The sequence below is a fragment of the Homo sapiens genome, chromosome 1 (genome assembly GCF_000001405.40).
Source record: "Homo sapiens chromosome 1, GRCh38.p14 Primary Assembly".
NCBI lineage: Eukaryota > Metazoa > Chordata > Mammalia > Primates > Hominidae > Homo > Homo sapiens.
In genome coordinates this window covers 169,488,562-169,508,384 of record NC_000001.11, presented here as the reverse complement: position 1 = coordinate 169,508,384, position 19,823 = coordinate 169,488,562, and positions in this window count along the sequence as shown.

Below are 19,823 nucleotides of genomic sequence, written 5' to 3'. Positions count from 1 at the left end.
CAAAGGCTCATATCATAAATACTGTTTCTCTAAGGCATGATTTTGTTATCTACTCTGTGACAATGAGCTCAAGATTGTGTATTCTGCAAGGTGTAACAACTGCATTTTTACAAAATTGTTATGTTCTTGCACAAGATTCTATCATAAGCAAATGGCAATAGAAGGCAAATGTTTCAGAACAATTAATGCAAAAAAACGTAAATAGAGAAAATTATTTTTATTAATCTAATTTCTTTCCTGCTATTTTGGAAAACAGCATCTTTCTGTTCTGGGGGTAGAACACCTTAATCCAATTCACAGAATAGATGGCAAAGATATCAAGATTCAAACATATGTGCAATCTAGTTCTTATTTATACTTCATTTAGCATAAATTAACTTTCTAATAATCATCTTTCTTAAAAGTGAACATAGCATGTTTGGAGTTTTTCAAGTCAATTAAACAAATATTTCTTGTTAATCATTTATAGAAAAGGAAGTTTTAGCTACTGCAAAGAATAGTCCCTGGCAGAGCCCTCAAAGATCTAACAAACTTATTTATACATTTTCAGTTATTAAGTCTTGGTTTGAATAATTACCTATTTTTTCTTCATAATTACTGGCTTCTTAATATTTTGTGGTTTGTTGTCATATTAACACTAAGTACAATGGACTCTAAAAAAAGTTTCTCTCAGATTTGAAATCGTTTGGACTATAACCTAGATTTTGAAACCCAAATATGAGCTCCCTATATAAGATATTTGCTTTAAGAAGGTCCCGTTTATCAAGATTAAAGCTTTGCAAATAAAACCAGGTTTATATTTAACTACCTTCCCCATCCTCCTCCTCAATGCACTCATTTCCCTAATACTTTACTCATTATGCTTTTTCAACACTCACAAAAAAACACAACCTTTTCTCCTTTTTTATACTAAGATAACTTCTTTTTTATTTTATTTTACTTTAAGTTCTGGGATACATGTGCAGGTTTGTTACAAAGGCATAAATGTGCCATGGTGGTTTGCTGCACCTATCAACCTGTCATCCAGGTTTTAAGCTCTGCATGCATTAGGTATTTGTCCTAATGCTCTGCCTCCCTTTGCCCCCCAATCCCTAACAGGACTTGGTGTGTGATGTTCCCCTCCCTGTGTCTATGTGTTCTCATTATTCAACTCCCCCTTATGAGTGAGAACATGGGTTGTTTGGTATTCTGTTCTTATGTTAGTTTGCTGAGAATGATGGCTTCCAGCTTCATCTGTGTCCCTGCAAAGGACATGAACTCATTCTTTTTTATGTCTACATAGTATTCCATGGTGCACATGTGCCACATTTTCTTTATCCAGTCTATCATTGATGGGCATTTGTGTTGGTTCCAAGTCTTTGCTATTGTAAATAGTGATGCAATAAACATATATGTGCATGTGTCTTTATAGTAGAATGATTTATATTCCTTTGGATATATACCCAGTAATGGGATTGCTGGGGCCAATGGTATTTCTGATTCTATATCCTTGAGGAATCACCACACTGTCTTCCACAATGGTGGAATTAATTTACACCCCTACCCACAGTGTAAAAGCATTCCTATTTCTTCACGGCCTTGCCAGCATCTGTTTCCTGACTTTTTAATAATCACAGTTCTAACTGGTATGAGATGGTATCTCATTGTGGTTTTGATTTGCATTTCTCTAATAACCAGTGATGATGAGCTTTTTTTCCATATGTTTGTTGGCTGCATATATGTCTTCTTTTGAGAAGTATCTGTCCATTTCCCTCGCCCATGTTTTGATGGTGTTGTTTTTTTCTTGTAAATTTAAGTTGCTTGTAGATTCTGGATATTAGACCTTTGTCAGATGGGTAGATTGCAAAAATTTTCTCCCATTCTGAGGTTGCCTGTTTACCCTGATAGTTTCTTTTGCTGTGCAGAAGCTCTTTAGTTTAATTCGATCCCATTTGTCAATTTTGCCTTTTGTTGCAGTTGCTTTTGTTGTTTTAGTCATGAATTCTTTGCTCATGCCTATGTCCTGAATAGTATTACCTAGGTTTTCTTCTAGGGTTTTTATGGTTTTGGGTTTAACATTTAAGTATTTAATCCATCTTGAGTTAATTTTTGTATAAGATGTAAGGAAGGGGTCCAGTTTCTGCTTTCCACATACGGCTAGCTAGTTTTCCCAGCACCATTTATTAAATAGGGAATCCTTTCCCCATTTCTTGTTTTTGGCAGGTTTGTCGAAGATCAGATGGTTGTAGATGTGTGGTGTTATTTCTGAGGTCTCTGTTCTGTTCCATTGGTCTATATATCTGTTTTGGTACCAGTACCATGCTGTTTTGGTTACTGTAGGCTTGTGGTATAGTTTGGAGTCAGGTAGCGTGATGCCTCCAGTTCTGTTCTTTTTGCTTAGAAGTCTCTTGGCTATACAGGCTTTTTGTTCCATATGCAATTTAAAGTAGTTTTTTCTAATTCTGAGAAGAAAGTCAATGGTAGCTTGATGGGAATAACATTGAATCTATACATTACCTTGGGCAGTATGGCCATTTTCACGATATTGATTCTTCCTATCCATGAGCATGGAATGTTTTTCCATTTGTTTGTGTCCTTTCTTATTTCCTTGAGCAGTGGTTTGTAGTTCTTGAAGAGGTCCTTTACGTCCCTTCTAAGTTGTATTCCGAGGTATTTTATTCTCTTTATAGCAATTTTGAATGGGAGTGCATTCATAATTTGGCTCTCTGCTTGTCTATTATTGGCGTATAGGAATGCTTGTTATTTTTGCACATCGATTTTGTATCCTGAGACTTCGCTGAAATTGCTTATCAGCATAAGGAGATTTTGGGGCTGAGACTATGGGGTTTTCTAAATATTCAGTCATGTCATCTGCAAACAGAGACAATTTGACTTCCTCTCTTCCTATTTAAATACCCTTTATTTCTTTCTTTTGCTTGATTGCCCTGGCCAGCACTTCCAAAACTATGTTGAATAGGAGTGGTGAGAGAGGTCATCCTTGTCTTGTGCCAGATTTCAAAAGGAATGCTTCTAGCTTTTGCCCATTCAGTATGATATTGGCTATGGATTTGTCATAAATAGCTCTTATTATTTTGAGATATTTTCCATCAATACCTAGTTTATTGAGAGTTTTTAACATGAAGGGCTGTTGAATATTATTGAAGGCCTTTTCTGCATCTATTGAGGTAATCATGTGGTTTCTGTCATTGGTTCTGTTTGTGTGATGGATAACATTTATTGATTTGCGCATGTTGAACCCAGCCTTCCATCCCAGAGATGAAGTCAACTCGATTGTGGTAGATAAGCTTTTTGATGTGCTGCTGCTGGACTCGGTTTGACAGCATTTTATTGAGGATTTTGGATACTGGCCTGAAATTTTCTTTTTTTGTTGTGTCTCTGCCAGGTTTTGGTATCAGGATGATGCTGGCCTCATAAATTGTGTTAGGGAGGAATCCCTCTTTTTCTATTGTTTGGAATAGTTTCAGGGTACCAGCTCCCCTTTTTGTCTCTAGTAGAATTCTGCTGTGAATCAGTCTGGTCCTGGGCTTTTTTTGGTTGGTAGGCTATTAATTACTCCCTCAATTTCAGAACTTGTTATTGGCCTATTCAGGGACTTGACTTCTTCCTGGTTTAGTTTTGGGAAGATGTATGTGTCCAGGAATTTATCCATTTCTTCTAGATTTTCTAGTTTATTTGCATACAGGTGTTTATAGTATAAGAAAACTTCTTTTGAAGTAATCATTTTCATGAACTATTTTGCTAAAACACATCTTGTCATCCTGTTTAGCTCCCTTTAGCATACTGGCCTATTTAACCTAATGCCATGCTTTTTAAACACCCTTTCTAATGATATTCTGCAGTTCCTTACAACCTAAATTTTCACGAATGTGGATAGATGTTAAATTAGATTATGGCTTTTCCTAGAATATGTACTTAGAATACAAGGCCTCCCAGTGATTTCTTAAATCCATATCCTACTTCTTTATTTTCTGTCTCTGACCTTTGACCTGTCTCAGTTTTTGAACTATTAAGGAGCTAATAGTTAATTAATAATTAAACAGCAGCAGCTTTAGTTCTTCCTTTCTTCTTTTTTTCATTTTCTTTCTTTTTTCCCCAGAGGAAATTATCTTTTTTTTTTAAATCATGGCTTGTTATCCTTTTTCTTAGTATCTAAGCCTACATTCAATTAAAATTTTGCTTTATAGTCAAGGCAAATATCTTTTTTATTATCATTATACTTTAAGTTCTAGGGTCCATGTGCACAACGTGCAGGTTTGATACATAGGTATACATGTGCCATGTTGGTTTGCTGCACCAATCAACTCATCGTTTACATTAGGTATTTCTCCTAATGCTATCCCTCCCCCAGACACCCCACCCTCCGACAGGCCCCAGTGTGTAATGGTCCCTGCTCTGTGTCCAAGTGATCTCATTGTTCAGTTCCCACCTATGAGTGAGAACATGCAGTGTTTGGTTTTCTGTCCTTGTAAGAGTTTGCTGAGAATGATAGTTTCCAGCTTCATCCATGTCCCTGCAAAGGACATGAACTCATCCTTTTTTATGGCTGCATAGTATTCCATGGTGTATATGTGCCACATTTTCTTAATCCAGTCCATCATTGATGGACATCTGGTTGGTTCTAAGTCTTTGCTATTGTGAATAGTGCTGCAATAAACATACGTGTGCCTCTGTCTTTATAGGAGCACGATTTATAATCCTTTGGGTATATACCCTGTAACAGGACTGCTGGGTCAAATGGTAATTCTAGTTCTAGATCTTTGAGGAATCACCACAGTGTCTTCCACAATGGTTGAACTAATTTACACTCCCAGCAACACTGTAAAAGTGTTCCCATTTCTCCACATCCTCTCCCGCATCTGTTGTTTCCTGACTTTTCAATGATTGCCATTCTAACTGGTGTGAGATGGTATCTCACTGTGGTTTTGATTTGCATTTCTCTGATGACCAGTGATGATGAGCATTTTTTCATGTGACTGTTGGCTGCATAGATGTCTTCTTTTGAGAAGTGTCTGCTCATATCCTTTGCCAACTTTTTGATGGGGTTGTTTTTTTCTTGTAAATTTGTTTGAGTTCTTTGTAGATTCTGGATATTAGCCCTTTGTCAGATGGGTAGATTGCAAAAATTTTCTCCCATTCTGTAGGTTGCCTGTTCACTCTGATGGTAGTTTCTTTTGCTGTGCAGAAGCTCTTTAGTTTAATTAGATCCCATTTGTCTATTTTGGCTTTTGTTGCCATTGCTTTTGGTGTTTTAGTCATGAAGGCTTTGCCCATGCCTATGTCCTGAATGGTATTGCCTAGGATTTCTTCTAGGCTTTTTATGGTTTTAGGTCTATCATTTAAGTCTTTAATTCATCTTGAATTAATTTTTGTATAAGGTGTAAGGAAGGGATCTAGTTTCAGCTTTCTACATATGGCTAGTCAGTTTTCTACATATGGCTAGTCAGTCACCCATGGCTGGCCGGGGACCTTGGCACAGCTGCCTCCTCCCTCGGTCACTCCTTAGGCAACACTCCAAGCTGAAAAGGCCCTTGGAGATCATCTCCTCCGATCCACGACAGTCAGCCAGATGAAGAAACTGAGGCCTGGAGAGCCCAAGATCCCATAGCAACACTCCAAGCTGAAAAGGCCCTTGGAGATCATCTCCTCCGATCCACGACAGTCAGCCAGATGAAGAAACTGAGGCCTGGAGAGCCCAAGATCCCATAGCAGTTCCTTTTTGGAGCTGACAATGTACCAATTATGCGGTACATTAGTCAGCTTTCTACATATGGCTAGCACCATTTGTTAAATAGGGAATCCTTTCCCCATTGCTTTTTTTGGTCAGGTTTGTCAAAGATCAGATGTTTGTAGATGTTTGGTGTAATTTCTGAGGCCTCTGTTCTGTTCCATTGGTCTATATATGTTTTGGTACCAGCACCATGCTGTTTTGGTTATTGTAACCTTGTAGTATAGTTTGAAGTCAGGTAGCATGATGCCTCCAGCTTTGTTCTTTTTGCTTAGGATTGTCTTGGCAATGTAGGCTCTTTTTTGGTTCCATATGAACTTTAAAGTAGTTTTTTCCAATTCTGTGAAGAAAGTCATTGGTAGCTTGATGGGGATTACATTGAATCTATAAATTACTTTGGGCAGTATGGCCATTTTCATGATATTGATTTTTCCTATCCATGAGCATGGAATTTTCTTCCATTTGTTTGTGTCCTCTTTTATTTCCTTGAGCAGTGGTTTGTAGTTTTACTTGAAGAGATCCTTCACATCCCTTGTAAGTTGGATTCCTAGGTATCTTATTCCCTTTGTAGCAATTGTGAATGGGAGTTCACTCATGATTTGCCTCCCTGTTTGTCTGTTAATGGTGTATAGGAATGCTTGTGATTTTTGCACATTGATTTTGTATCCTGAGACTTTGCTGAAGTTGCTTATCAGCTTAAGGAGGTTTTGGGCTCAGACAATGGGGTTTTCTAAATATACAATCATGCCATCTGCAAACAGGGACAATTTGACTTCCTCATTTCCTAATTGAATATCCTTTATTTCTTTCTCTTGCCTGATTGCCCTGGCCAGAACTTCAAACACTATGTTGAATAGGAGTGGTGAGAGAGGGCATCCCTGTCTTGTGCCAGTTTTCAAAGGGAATGCTTCCAGTTTTTGCCCATTCATTATGATATTGGCTGTGGGTTTGTCATAAATAGCTCTTATTATTTTGAGATACGTTCCACCAATACCTAGTTTATTCAGAGTTTTTAGCATGAAGGGCTGTTGAATTTTTTCAAAGGCCTTTTCTGCCTCTATTGAGATAATCATGTGGTTTTTGTCATTGGTTCTGTTTATGTGATCAATTATGTTTATTGACTTGGGTATTTTGAACCAGCCTTGCATCACAAGGATGAAGCCGACTTGATTGTGGTGGATAAGCTTTTCGATGTGCTGCTGGATTCAGTTTGCCAGTATTTTACTGAGGATTTTCACATCGACATTCATCAGGGATATTGGTCTAAAATTCTCTTTTTTTTGTTGTGTCTCTGCCAGGCTTTGGTATCAGGATGATGTTTGCCTCATAAAATGAGTTAGGGAGGATTCTCTCTTTTTCTATTGATTGAAACAGTTTCAGAAGGAGTGGTACCACCTCCTCCTTGTACCTCTGGTGAATTTGGCTTTGAATCTGTCTGGTTCTGGACATATTTTGGTTGGTAGGCTATTAATTATTGCCTCAATTTCAGAGCCTATTATTGGTCTATTCAGAGATTCAGCTTCTTCCTGGTTTAGTCTTGGGAGGGTGTATGTGTCCAGGAATTTATCCATTTCTTCTAGATTTTCTAGTTTATTTGTATAGAGGTGTTTATAGTATTCTCTGATGGTAGTTTGTATTTCTGTGGGATCAGTGGTGATATCCCCTTTATCATTTTTATTGCGTCTATTTGATTCTTCTCTATTTTCTTCTTTATTAGTCTTGCTAGTGGTCTATCAATTTTGTTGATCTTTTCAAAAAACCAGCTCCTAGATTCATTGATTTTTTGAAGGGTTTTTTTGTGTCTCTATCTCTTTCAGGTCTGCTCTGATCTTAGTTATTTCTTGCCTTCCGCTAGCTTTTGAATGTGTTTGCTCTTGTTTCTCCAGTTCTTTTAATTGTGATGTTAGGGTGTCGATTTTAGATTTTTCCTCTTTCTCTTGTGGGCATTTAGTGCTATAACTTTCACTCTAAACACTGCTTTAAATGTGTCCCAGAGATTCTGGTATGTTGTGTCTTTGTTCTCATTGGTTTCAAAGAACATCTTTATTTCTGCCTTCATTTCGTTATTTACCCAGCAGTCATTCAGGAGCAAGTTGTTCAGTTTCCATGTAGTTGCATGGTTTTGAGTGAGTTTCTTAATCCTGAATTCTAATTTGATTGCACTGTGGTCTGAGAGACAGTTTGTTGTGATTTCTGTTCTTTTACATTTGCTGAGGAGTGCTTTACTTCCAATTATGTGGTCAATTTTAGAATAAGTGCAATGTGGTGCTGAAAAGAATGTATATTCTGTTGATTTGGGGTGGAAAATTCTATAGATGTCTATTAGGTCTGCTTGTTGCAGAGCTGAGTTCAGGTCCTGGATATCCTTGTTAACCTTCTGAGTCAGGACAAATATCCTTACAGTCAATTCATTTATTGATTGCCTATTAAGTGCTAGGTACTGTTCAGGTACTGAAGATAACAAAACAGACAAAATTCCTACTTGAATGGAGTTTATTCACAAGTTGAAAGAAAGAGACAATAAACCATAATAAAAATATATAAGATATTAGATAATAAGTCCTATGGCAAAAATAAATCAATAGCAGGAGCTGAATATTTGTAGTGGGGAGGAAGTCAACATTAAAAAGGATGGTCAGGGGAGGCCCTAGCTTGATGTTTGAGCAAAGAGCAGAGGAAGTGAGGAAGTAAATACCACAGACATATAGGAAAAAAAAAAACTTAGAAAGCAGAAAGAACCATGAATAAACATTTTGTAGTAAAAATATGCAGGTAGTGATCCAGGATTGACAAGGAGAACCAGGTGGCTGAAGCCAAATGAGCAAGGGGGAGAGCAGAAGTTGAGATCAAAGAATAAAATGGGTGGGGAAAGGTGGAGAGAGACAGAGGGTGGGGAATAGAGTGGCTATTTAGGTCTAGCAGCCCTTGGGCTCATTTGCTGAATGAGATGGGAAGTTATTGGACAGTATTGAACGGAGAAGAATATCATCTGACTTGTGCTTTAAAAGAATCTTTGTGACAGCTATAACAAGAAGAGACTATAGGGGATCAAGGATGTTAGCAGGAAGTCCAATTTAGCTGCAATTACAGATATTCATATCAACTGTGGTAGCAATAAAAATGGTGAGAGTGGTGGAATTCCGGCCATATTTTGAAGGCAAAGTCAATAGGATTTGCTAATGAATTAAGCAGTATGCAATGTAATAGTTGTCTCCCAAGACTATGGGTAAGAACACTACCCACTGAAACACTGGCAGTGCTTTTTAAAAGCCCAGTGTTGGGCCAGGCATTGTGGCTCATGCCTGTAATCCTAGCACTTTGGGAGGCCGAGGCAGTGGATCACCTGAAGTCAGGACTTCGAGACCAGCCTGGCCAACATTGTGAAACCCCATCTCTACTAAAAAATACAAAAATTAGCCAGGCATGGTGGCAGGCACCTATAATCCCAGCTACTCAGGAGGCTGAGGCAGGAGAATCACTTGAACCCTGGGGGCGGAGGTTGCAGTGAGCAGAGATTGCACCACTTCACTCTAGCCTGGGCAACAAAGTGAAACTCCATCTCAAAAAAAAAAAAAAAAAAAAGCTTAGTGTTGTCAAAATTATTCTTTCTTTTCTATCCATTATTAACAAATTAACTTTGCATTCCACTGTATGTGAAGAGCTGATTTCTGTGAGCACAACATGAACTTTGTTATCTGATATGATTAGGCTTTGTGTACCCACCCAAATCTCATCTTGAATTATATTCCCCAGCTGTTGAGAAGAGGCCTGGTGGGAGGTGACTGAATCATATGGGTGATTTTCCCCAGTGCTATTCTCATGATAGTGAGAGGGTTCTCACAAGATCTGATGGTTTTATAAATGGCAGTTTCCCCTGGACTTCTCTCTCTCTCTCTCACCTGCTGCCATGTGAGATGTGCCTGCTTCCCCTTCTGCCATGATTGTAAGTTTCCTGAGGCCTCCCCAGCCACGTGCAATGTGTCAATTAAATCTTTCCTTTAAAAATTACTCAGTCTTCAGTTGTATCTTTATAGCAGTGTGAAAACTAATACATCATCCTTCAGAATATGTCCTCCATGGAATGTTAAATCCAACTAGCAAGAAACTCCCTGTGCATCTCAGCTCGTGTGAACTCCCACCCCACCCACTCTCACATTTCATGGAGATACCCAGCTCTCTCAGTCCCTTCATTACATGATACCTCTGGGTCCCCTCATGGCTTCCCTTCCTTCTCTAAGCAGCACACACCCATGGTTCATCAACAATACTTACAAACCCTGGGGAAAACTCTTGTCTCCAGCCTTCTGCTCCTCATTCTTACCCCCTGAGAAGCCCCCAACCTTGAATTAGTCTAGCACTCACACTCTCCGTGCTACACCCAGGCTGTAACATATACACAGACCTAGCTGGGCAATTTCTATTCACATTCCTTGTCAGTCGCTCCCCACATATGCTATTTAAACTTTCATATTCTAAGGTAGAACCTGTCTCATCCTTGTTTACCTTTTTTTCAGCAAGTACCTTGCCTCTTATCACATAGGAGAAATAGATAACATTAGGGAATGTTTTCAATGTCATCTCCTACCCCCTCCTAGTGCCTATTTATCTACATTTTCATCCACCTTAACTCCTTCCCTGGGGAGCCTGAGGCCGTTACAGGAAAGGGGTCCCAATCCAGACCCCAAGAAAGGGTTCTTGGATCTTGTGCAAGAAAGAATTCAGGGTGAGTCCTCAGTGCAAAGAGAAAGCAAGTTTATTAAGGAAGTAAAGTGGTGGAAGAACAGCTATTCTATAGACAGAGTAGGACATTCCTGAAAGTAAGAGGAGGAACACACTCACCCTAGGTACAATGCTTGTATTATATGGGGAGATGTGTTCTGCTACTAGGGTTTGTGATGAAGGATGAATTTTCTTAATTACTATATTTTTCAAGAATTGATACTACTGTCTTTAAAGCAAAATTAGGAATGCCTTTATTCTCCAGATATCGGGATACCCGGACACTCCTAAATCTGGGTGTGTTTAGTAAACATTATTAATTTGTCCCCTTAACCATAAACATCTAAGAGCTAGGATTGCCTAACTTTTTTAGAATGCAGCCCAGCAAGTCTCAGCCTCATTTTCCTAGCCCTCACTCAAAATGGAGTCATTCTGGTTTGACCACCTGACAGGGTGAATTTTCCTTTCTTAGTCAGGTCACACCTTATATTTCTGTTTTGGATCCCAGTACCTCCATACCTCAGGGACTTGTTTCATATGTGTGATTACATATGTTTGTCAAAACTTATCAAATATATATTTAATATATACTTAAAATGGGTGATATTGGACAAAAATTATACCTCAATAAAGTTGTTTAAGGAAAATTTGGTATACTCTGGATCTCTTCTTTTTCCTCTGCTCATGAATATGCTCTAGTCTCTGACAAAATAAACAAAAGCCAAATTTGAAAACGTAACTGGCATTTGCTGCCTGCACAGTATTTAAAGAGCTCCTACTTTGTGCAAGGATCTTTCCTAAGTACTTGGAAGCTGGCCCACTATGGTACTTAGATAATAATAGATCTCCTTTTTTTAAAGATTAATTTTGTGCTAGGTACTATGGAGAACATTTATCATATATAATCTTATTTAATCCTCCCAACTACCCCAAGAAGTGGATATTATTATCTCCATTTTACATGAGAAAACTGAGCCTTAGAAGGGAATGATACCTTGTCCTAGGCTGCCAAAAGTTATAATGGTGGCTAGGTCCTAAACCTAGGTCAGCCTGATGTATCCCACCATTAAGCTCTTTATATGCTAAGCCAGGTGATGAGGTTTTAGATAGGGTGGGAGTGGGGAGGTAAGATATCAGAATATTCAGATGCTCACAAGTTTCATTAATTTCTCTTTCTTGTACAAAGTCCCTGTCCTCACTGATGGGTACATATCAAAGTATCCTTTGGAGAATAAAGAACTGAGGTTCAGAGTTCTTGGTGGACCTCCCAGACACAAATTCTTGAATCTGTAGATCTTCTCTTGTATTTCACATTAGGAAGAGCTTCTGCTATGGAATGCCAATGGAAAGCTAAAGAAGAAGAGGTTAGAAATTAAACTGATATGAGTTATATGCAAAAGCATGAATGTAGACCTCTCCTGAAAGGATGTTCATACTGTAATACAGATAGGTCTTTTTCACCCTGTGGTTCATGACAGACTCTAAAGATGGTTTCACCTAAAGATCTCTACACCACAATAGAAGAACTTGGCTAACTATAAGGATGGAATGCTTCATCTATAGCTAAACGGAATGTTATAATACCTGTAAATGAGCTGCAAAAAAGCATTAGTGAAGGTTGAAAGTATAATTCATGAGGACTCAGAAATGTGTCCACCAAACACTTACTGGACAACTCTTATATTTAAAACACCACAGGAGACACCAGGAAAGATAAAGACCACACTTAGTTTCTAATCACAAAAATCCCTACAGTTAGTGGGAGAGGAAGTCATGTATATAAAAACCAGAAATTATTTACCAGGCAGGATGTGACAAGCATGCACACACACGGCTTAAATAGTCATGTTCTGTAATACCTGAATGCCTCACCAAGAACTGAAGATGTCTTCTCACTGTTAGCAAATATTCCAGCCAAGAACTCTCATCTTGAAAATCAGAATTGAGAAGGAGACAAAAGCTGAACAGCATATTGGGAATTTGCAGTTATGAGAACCTGGACGGGGGTCCTGAATCAGTATTGTATTCAGATTGAGACTTGGAAAGAATATTTCTTTACTAATCTCTTCTATCTGGGAGAATTTTACATAAAATTTTTTGAACCTTTAATTATCCATTGAAGAGTATTTTAAAATATCTCACCAAACCACATGGAGAACACATAACTGAGAGGAGATAAAATAAATGTGTGACTGTGTGTTTGAATGCATTTATACCTCATTAAGAGGGAAGGAGGGAGGAGAGTCACATATCAGAAACATTCATAGATATGGCCTGTCTTTGTGGCTTTGAGAATTTCAAAGCACTTAATATCTGTGCCTTGAGTCCATTATGTTGCCAAAAATGAATATTTGATGAGAGAAATCAACATACCCTTATTTCAGATCATTCAACATTTCTTAGTTTATGACTCATTCACATGTGATTGTAAATGCTGCTTTGGAGATTACCATAAGAGGTGACATGCTTTTACAAATCAAGACTCATCACTCTTTCCCAAAAAAGTTCTGATACATTCTCTAAGAAAGATAAAGTATATCAGAAAATAAATTATTTCACCACCTGTCTTGGCTAAATATATAGTCCAGCCCCTTCTGGTCTCACATGAACCCCATTCTTAATGGAAGTCTGTCTGATGTGAGGAAACAAGGAGGCTGCTTTGAGTCACAGACAGGGCTTGCAGAACTGCCACCTCATAGGTAACTGTGACTGCTCCCAGTGTGCCTCTGGCAATCTCTGGAAGCCCCATGGGAACTCCCAAAGGAGACACCCTGAATGCTGGGCCACATTCATTCTCATTCTCAGAGAAAAATCCAACAGCAGAGCTTAGCCAATCACTACAATGCTGGCAAGTTTGCAGTCTCCTTCCTAAGACCTCAGCTAAACATATCTCTCAAATCCAGCTAGTGTCTCAAACCCTTTCCCTCTTCCATCTTTTTTTTTTTTTTGAGACGGAGTCTCACTTGTCCCCAGGCTGGAGTGCAGTGGCGAGATCTCGGCTCACTGCAACCTCCGCCTCCCAGGTTCAAGCGATTCTCCTGCCTCAGCCTCTCGAGTAGCTGGGACTACAGGCACGTGCCACCACACCCAGCAAATTTTTGTATTTTTAGGAGAGACAGGGTTTCACCATGTTGGCCAGGATGGTCTTGATCTCTTGACCTCGTGATCTGCCCGCCTCGGCCTCCCAAAGTGCTGGGATTACAGGTGTGAGCCACCGCGGCCGGCACCCTTTTCCATCTTAGTGGGAGTCCAGTTTCTGCAAGTTTGGGAAAAGCAGTTGTGTCTATAGGAGCAGGAGTACAAACAGGATTTGAGACCTGGGTCCAGGCACTGCTAGGTGTCAAAACTCTGTAATCACTCTCACATTCAAGGTCATTGATGTTGAGAGAGAATACATTCCTCTTCCAGTACTCAGTCTGTTCTTGTTACTTAGGTACAGTCTCCCAGCTGAATCAATAGAGTCAGTGAACTTTATAGCTAGAAGGCTTATGGAGATCATCTACTCCTAACACCCATGTTAGAGGAACCTCAGATACAACATGCAGCCATTTATCTGAAGTCATGTAGCCTATTTATAGAAAAACCTGAGTGAGAATTTAGGGTTCTCAATTCCTAATCCAGTGACATTTTTGGATCACAACAAAATTTCCCCTAGATTGATTCCTAGAGTCTGTATGAGGGAGGTCCACAGAACTCATGGCATCCAGATGGATAATGTGTTAAAGTCTTTTTTCTATGAACATCTATTTCATTTTCCTATTGAATTCCACGTTATCACTGTTTGTGATATGGCCTTATGACAGAACTGTTACATATTAGCTTGTTTTTTTTTCTTTTTGAGACGGAGTCTCGCTCTGTCGCCCAGTCTGGAGTGCAGTAGCACGATCTCGGCTCACTGCAAGCTCCGCCTCCCGGGTTCACGCCATTCTCCTGCCTCAGCCTGCCGAGTAGCTGGGACTACAGGCGCCGCCACCATGCCCGGCTAATTTTTTGTATTTTTAGTAGAGACGGGGTTGCTCCGTGTTAGCCAGGATGCTTGTTTTTAAAGCTTCAGCCACTCAAGTAGTTTACGGGATAATACCCAAGTATTTTCCTAAAGGAAATTTGGGAACTTGTAGACCAGTAAAATATCGTTTTTGCCTTGAGCATCTCTATTGAAATAAATGCCACATATAGTACCAATGCAGCCTCCTGAAGATGGGATTAATGAGGGCTCAAACATGTCCATCCTCGAATCTGCAGAGTGGCTGTATTGCTATTCTTCTTCGACCTTCATTCACTCTACTCATTTTCACCAAATTTGTGTTAGGAAGGATATGATAAGACATCTGCTTTTAAGGATTCTATAGGCTGGTGAGGAAAAAAAGTTACAATAAAATGTGATAGCTATAGTAGAGGTATATACATAGTTCCAAGGGAACAGAAAACAGAGCAATTGCCCAAGAGGCATCAGAGAAGTGTGCAGAGAGGAATTGACACTTACTTCATTCATTCAACAAATATGTGTCAAGTATGAGTATGTTGCCAAGCACTGTTCTAGAACAGTAAACAAAAACAAAGCCATTGCTTTTATGGAGCTCTTATTGTAGTGCTTATTCTCAGAAACAGGCAAAATAAATAAATATATAATATAGCAAGTGGGGACGAGTGCTAAGATGAAGAAAGCAGGGTAGAAGAATAGAAGGTGGCCAGGATGGGAATGTGTGCTATTTTAAGTAGAATAAGGTGATAATTAGGCAGAAACCTGAAAGTAGTGAGGGAGGGCATCATACTAATATCTAAGAAGAGACTGTTCTAGGCAGACAGAATAGCAAGGGCCAAGGTCCTGATGTAGAAGTGTGCTTAGTACATACAAGAAACAATGAAGAAGCCAGCGTGAATAGCCCAGAGTGGGAAGGTGGACAGTCATAGGAGATGAGATTAGAGATATACTGAGATGGAGTGAGTATATCAGGTAGGGCCTTACAGACCACAGTAAAAACTTAGGATTTAATTCAAAATTTGATGGGAAGCCACTGGAGGAATCTGAGCAGAAGAGTGGCATAATTCAATTTAGGCTTTAGGGAGGTCAATCCACCTGCTGGGCAAATAGACTAGTAGGGGAAGGCTGTGGTCAGAGAAATGGGTTAGGAGCTAGGGTAACAGCTCAGAAGATAAATAATGATGGCCTGAACTAGGGTGGTAGTGGTGAAGGAGATAAGACATCTGAATGACAACTTGAGAAACTGGTGAGCATTAATGGACATTAGTAGAAAATGAGATTGAAGCAGTTAGCAGAAGTCAGAAATAAGAAGTTTCTACTTTATTTATTAAGCACCAGAGATTCCTAAACAATCAGAGATCAGGGCAAGGGTAATATCAGATTTGAGGAAGATTCTTCTTACTGTGGTATAAAGATTGGCCTGGGCTAGGGTGAGACTAGAGGCAAGAAACTACAATCAAATAAATGCAAGTCAGAGGATGAAGATAGTGGTTTAATAATAACTGAATTATGGTTAATAACCAGTTTGTTCTTCCAGAGTGCACTAACTTTTCACATAGGATGACATTTTTGAGATCAATAGGTGATGACAGTTTTCCAATTTACACATCAAAGGATGGCAGAAGACAGGCAGAGTCAGGAGGGAGGAATGGTGCCACAGAGTGTTTATGGGGCAGGCACAGAGCTCTTTCCCAAAGGGTATGTGGTACCATGCAACGGGGGGAATGCCTCCCCTGCATGGCACCACATTCCCAGCCCACACAGGCTGAGCAGGCTGATGAGTAGGCAGCCTTTTAGATGGGCTGGCTGTTCCATGACACAGCTCAGCTGTGGGGCGATGTCTTGATGACTACATGCAAAATTCTGGGTCAAGCATTTAAGAAACAAAGAAGAGAGTCACTTGTGAGCTGAACTAGCATTTTACTGGATGGCACAGCAAGTCATTTCATCTGTGATTATTGTCAGAACAGAACTTGGTTCTGTTTGTGAAATAAGTCATCAGTTTAGGAGCATCTCAGGGGCATAGCCTGGAGTGGTTCTTGGGTGACTGATTCACCGTATGAGCTCTCTGAGGTTGGGGACTGTCTTATCTTTGCTGTAGTACCAAGTGCAAGGCCTTGAACAACAGGCTGTCAATATACTCATGTTGAGGAAATAAATGTGACCTAGAAGGACTAAGATTCTTTGTCCCTCAGTGTTCCCACCTATAAATTGAGAAAAAATGTGTATTTGTACCTATCATACTTACAGGGATGAAGTAAGAATCCAAGTTCTAGTAAATATCTTTGAAAGGCGTTTCAATACTCTGTTTTTCCAGGCGAACTGCTTTGCGGTACCAGTATATTGAAAGTGAAGAAACATTAACTAGGCAAGCACTTAAGAGGTTACATGGCATGGAGGAATAGTATTGAATTGTAAGTTTGCATGACCAAAGACTATTTAGAATTTGCTGCTAACTCTCTAGGTTATTTTGGTAAGCTGATTTACATTTCTTGGTCTCAATTTCAATGTTTTTTTCTAAAATTAACAGTTTATGATTATAATTATTTTTTATTGAATTCCATCATTTCTAGAACAAAGTTCAAATTGGGCTAACCAGAATGTTTCCAATTTTAGCATATCATATGTCCCTTAACTCCTCTGTAACTTAGTGTCTTCCTCAGAAAAGTAATGCAATGGACAGACCAATCTTAATGCTTCTTTTTGCTCTAAAATTCTACATGTCACACAATAGGTATGAATCAATGCTCCTTTCTAGCCTGCACTAGTCCATAGATTAAAAACGTCTGATTTGTACATCCAATTGGAATTGTGTTAAAGTTACAGATTAACTTTAGGAAAAGGACATTTTTATGATGCTTCTTTTCTCATCCAAAGACACAGTATGTCTGACCATTTTTTCAGACCTTGTTTTAATGTCTACAATAATATTTTACCATCTAGCAAAGATACTACAAAAGTCAATAAAAAGTATATTTGAAAAATAAATGTTTTCGAATAGGAAAAATAAATGATTAAAAAATATAAAAAGCTCTTTAGAATAAATTAATGAGAGGGATAAGCCACCAAAAGAAAAAATGGGCAAATAATATGGATAGGCTATTTGCAGAAGGATAAATCCAAGTAGCTGACAAACATATGGAAAAAAGTGCTCAAACTCATTCATAAAGATTTTCAAATTGAAGATACAATGAGGTACCTTTTTTTTTTTTTTTTTTTTTTTGAGACGGAGTCCAGTCTCAGGCTGGAGTGCAGTCGCGTCGATCTCTGCTCACTGCAACCTCTGCCTCCCGGGTTCAAGTGATTCTCCTGCCTCAGGCTCCCGAGTAGATGGGACTACAGGCGTGCGCCACCACACCCAGCTAATTTTTGTATTTTTGGTAGAGACAGGGTTTCACCATGTTGGCCAGGATGGTCTTGATCTCTTGACCTCATGATCCGCCCACCTTGGCCTCCCAGAATGCTGGGATTACAGGCATGAGCCACCTCACCCAGCCACAATGAGGTATCTTTATACCATGGTTTCTTATCTTTCTCACTAGTGGCAGTCTGGGATGGACAACTCTGTTGTGGGTGACGCCTCGAGTATATTGCAGGATATTTAACAGAATCCCTGGTTCTGCCCACAGAAGCTAGTAGCACCACCCGCCCCGCCCCCCCGTCCCCCCGCCATTTTGACAATCAAAAATGTCTCCAAACATTGCCAAATGTCCCCTGTGGGACAAAATCATTACCGATTGAGAACCACTGATTTATACCTATTAGATAAGCAAAAATTGTAAAGTTTGATTATAACTGTAATCAAGGATGCAGTGCAGAAAGAATGTTTTCATATATTGCTAGTAAAAATGTAAGTTATTAATGTAAAACAATTGAGCAATATCTATTAAAATTAAAAACACATATACTCTTTAAACCAGAAATACTACTCCTCAGAATAAATCCTTTTAAACTGAAATTTAAAATACATAAACATATATTGTACAAGGATGTTAACTGCAGCATTGTTGGCAGTGGCCAAAAACTAGAAACAGAATGAATAACCATAAGTAGGGGGTGAATAGCACACCCATGCAATAGGATATTATGTAGGCATTAGAAAGAATTAGAGGTATACCTTAACACATGGAATGTTCTTCATGAGTTATTCCTTAGAGAGAAAACCAAGAGCCAAAGTGTATAACATAGTTGTATAATACTGTGTAATCTTACTTTTTGCAAAACACATCCCTTCATGCTTTTTTATATTACTATATAAAAAGTCTCTCAATATTCTATTTACCCCTACTGAATGGAAGAAAATATATTTGCAAATCATATCTGACAAAGGTCTAGTACCTAGAATTTATAAAGAACTCTTCTAACTCAACAACAAAAAGACAAACAACTGAATCAAAGAGGGGCAAAGGACTTGAATAGGCATTTCTCCAAAGAAGTTATATGATTGGCCAACAAATACATGAGAAGATGCTCAACATCAGTCATTAGAGAAGTACATCAAAACCACAATGAGATACCACTTCACACCCACCAGGATGGCTACTATAAAAAGGAAAATAAGTGTTGGCAAGGATGTGGACAAATTGGAACCTTTGTACATTACTTATGAGAATGTGAAATCATGCAGCCTGTGGAAAACAGTTTGGCAGTTTCTTAGATAAACACAGAATTACCAAATGACACAACAATTCTACTCCTAGGTATATACCCCAAAGAAATAAAAATAAATATTCAAATACACACTTGCATACAAATGTTCATAGCAGCACTATTCACAATAGACAAAAGTAAAAATAATCCAAATGTTATCAATTGATGGATAAACAAAATGTTGTATATACACATATTACTTAGCCATAAAAAGGAACGAAGTACTGATACATGCTACAATGTGGATGAATCTTTAAAACATTAAACTAAGTGAAAGAAGCTAGACACAAAAGGTCACAAATTGTATGTAACCTCCAGAATAGACAAATCCATAGGCAGAAAGCATATTAGTGTTTGCCAGGGACTAAGGGGAGGAGGGAACAGGGAGTGACTGCTTAATGGGTATCAGTTTCCTGTAGGGTGGTGAAAATGTCTTGGAATTAGACAGAAGTGATGGTTTCACAATATTATGAATGTAGTAATGCCACTGGGTTGTACACTTAATTAATGGTTAATTTTATGTTATGTGAATATTGCCTCGATTTAAAAAATATATTCTATTTACCTTTGTGTTAGATTCCTATTGCTGCACAACAAATGAACAAAAATTTAGCGGCTTTAAAATATTACCACATCAGCTTAGCTCACAGTTCTGTAGATCCAGGTGGGCTTGAGTGGATTCTCTGCTTACGGTTTCGCAGACCAAAATTAAGATGGTGACCCGGCTGGGCTCTTCTCGGAAGAATC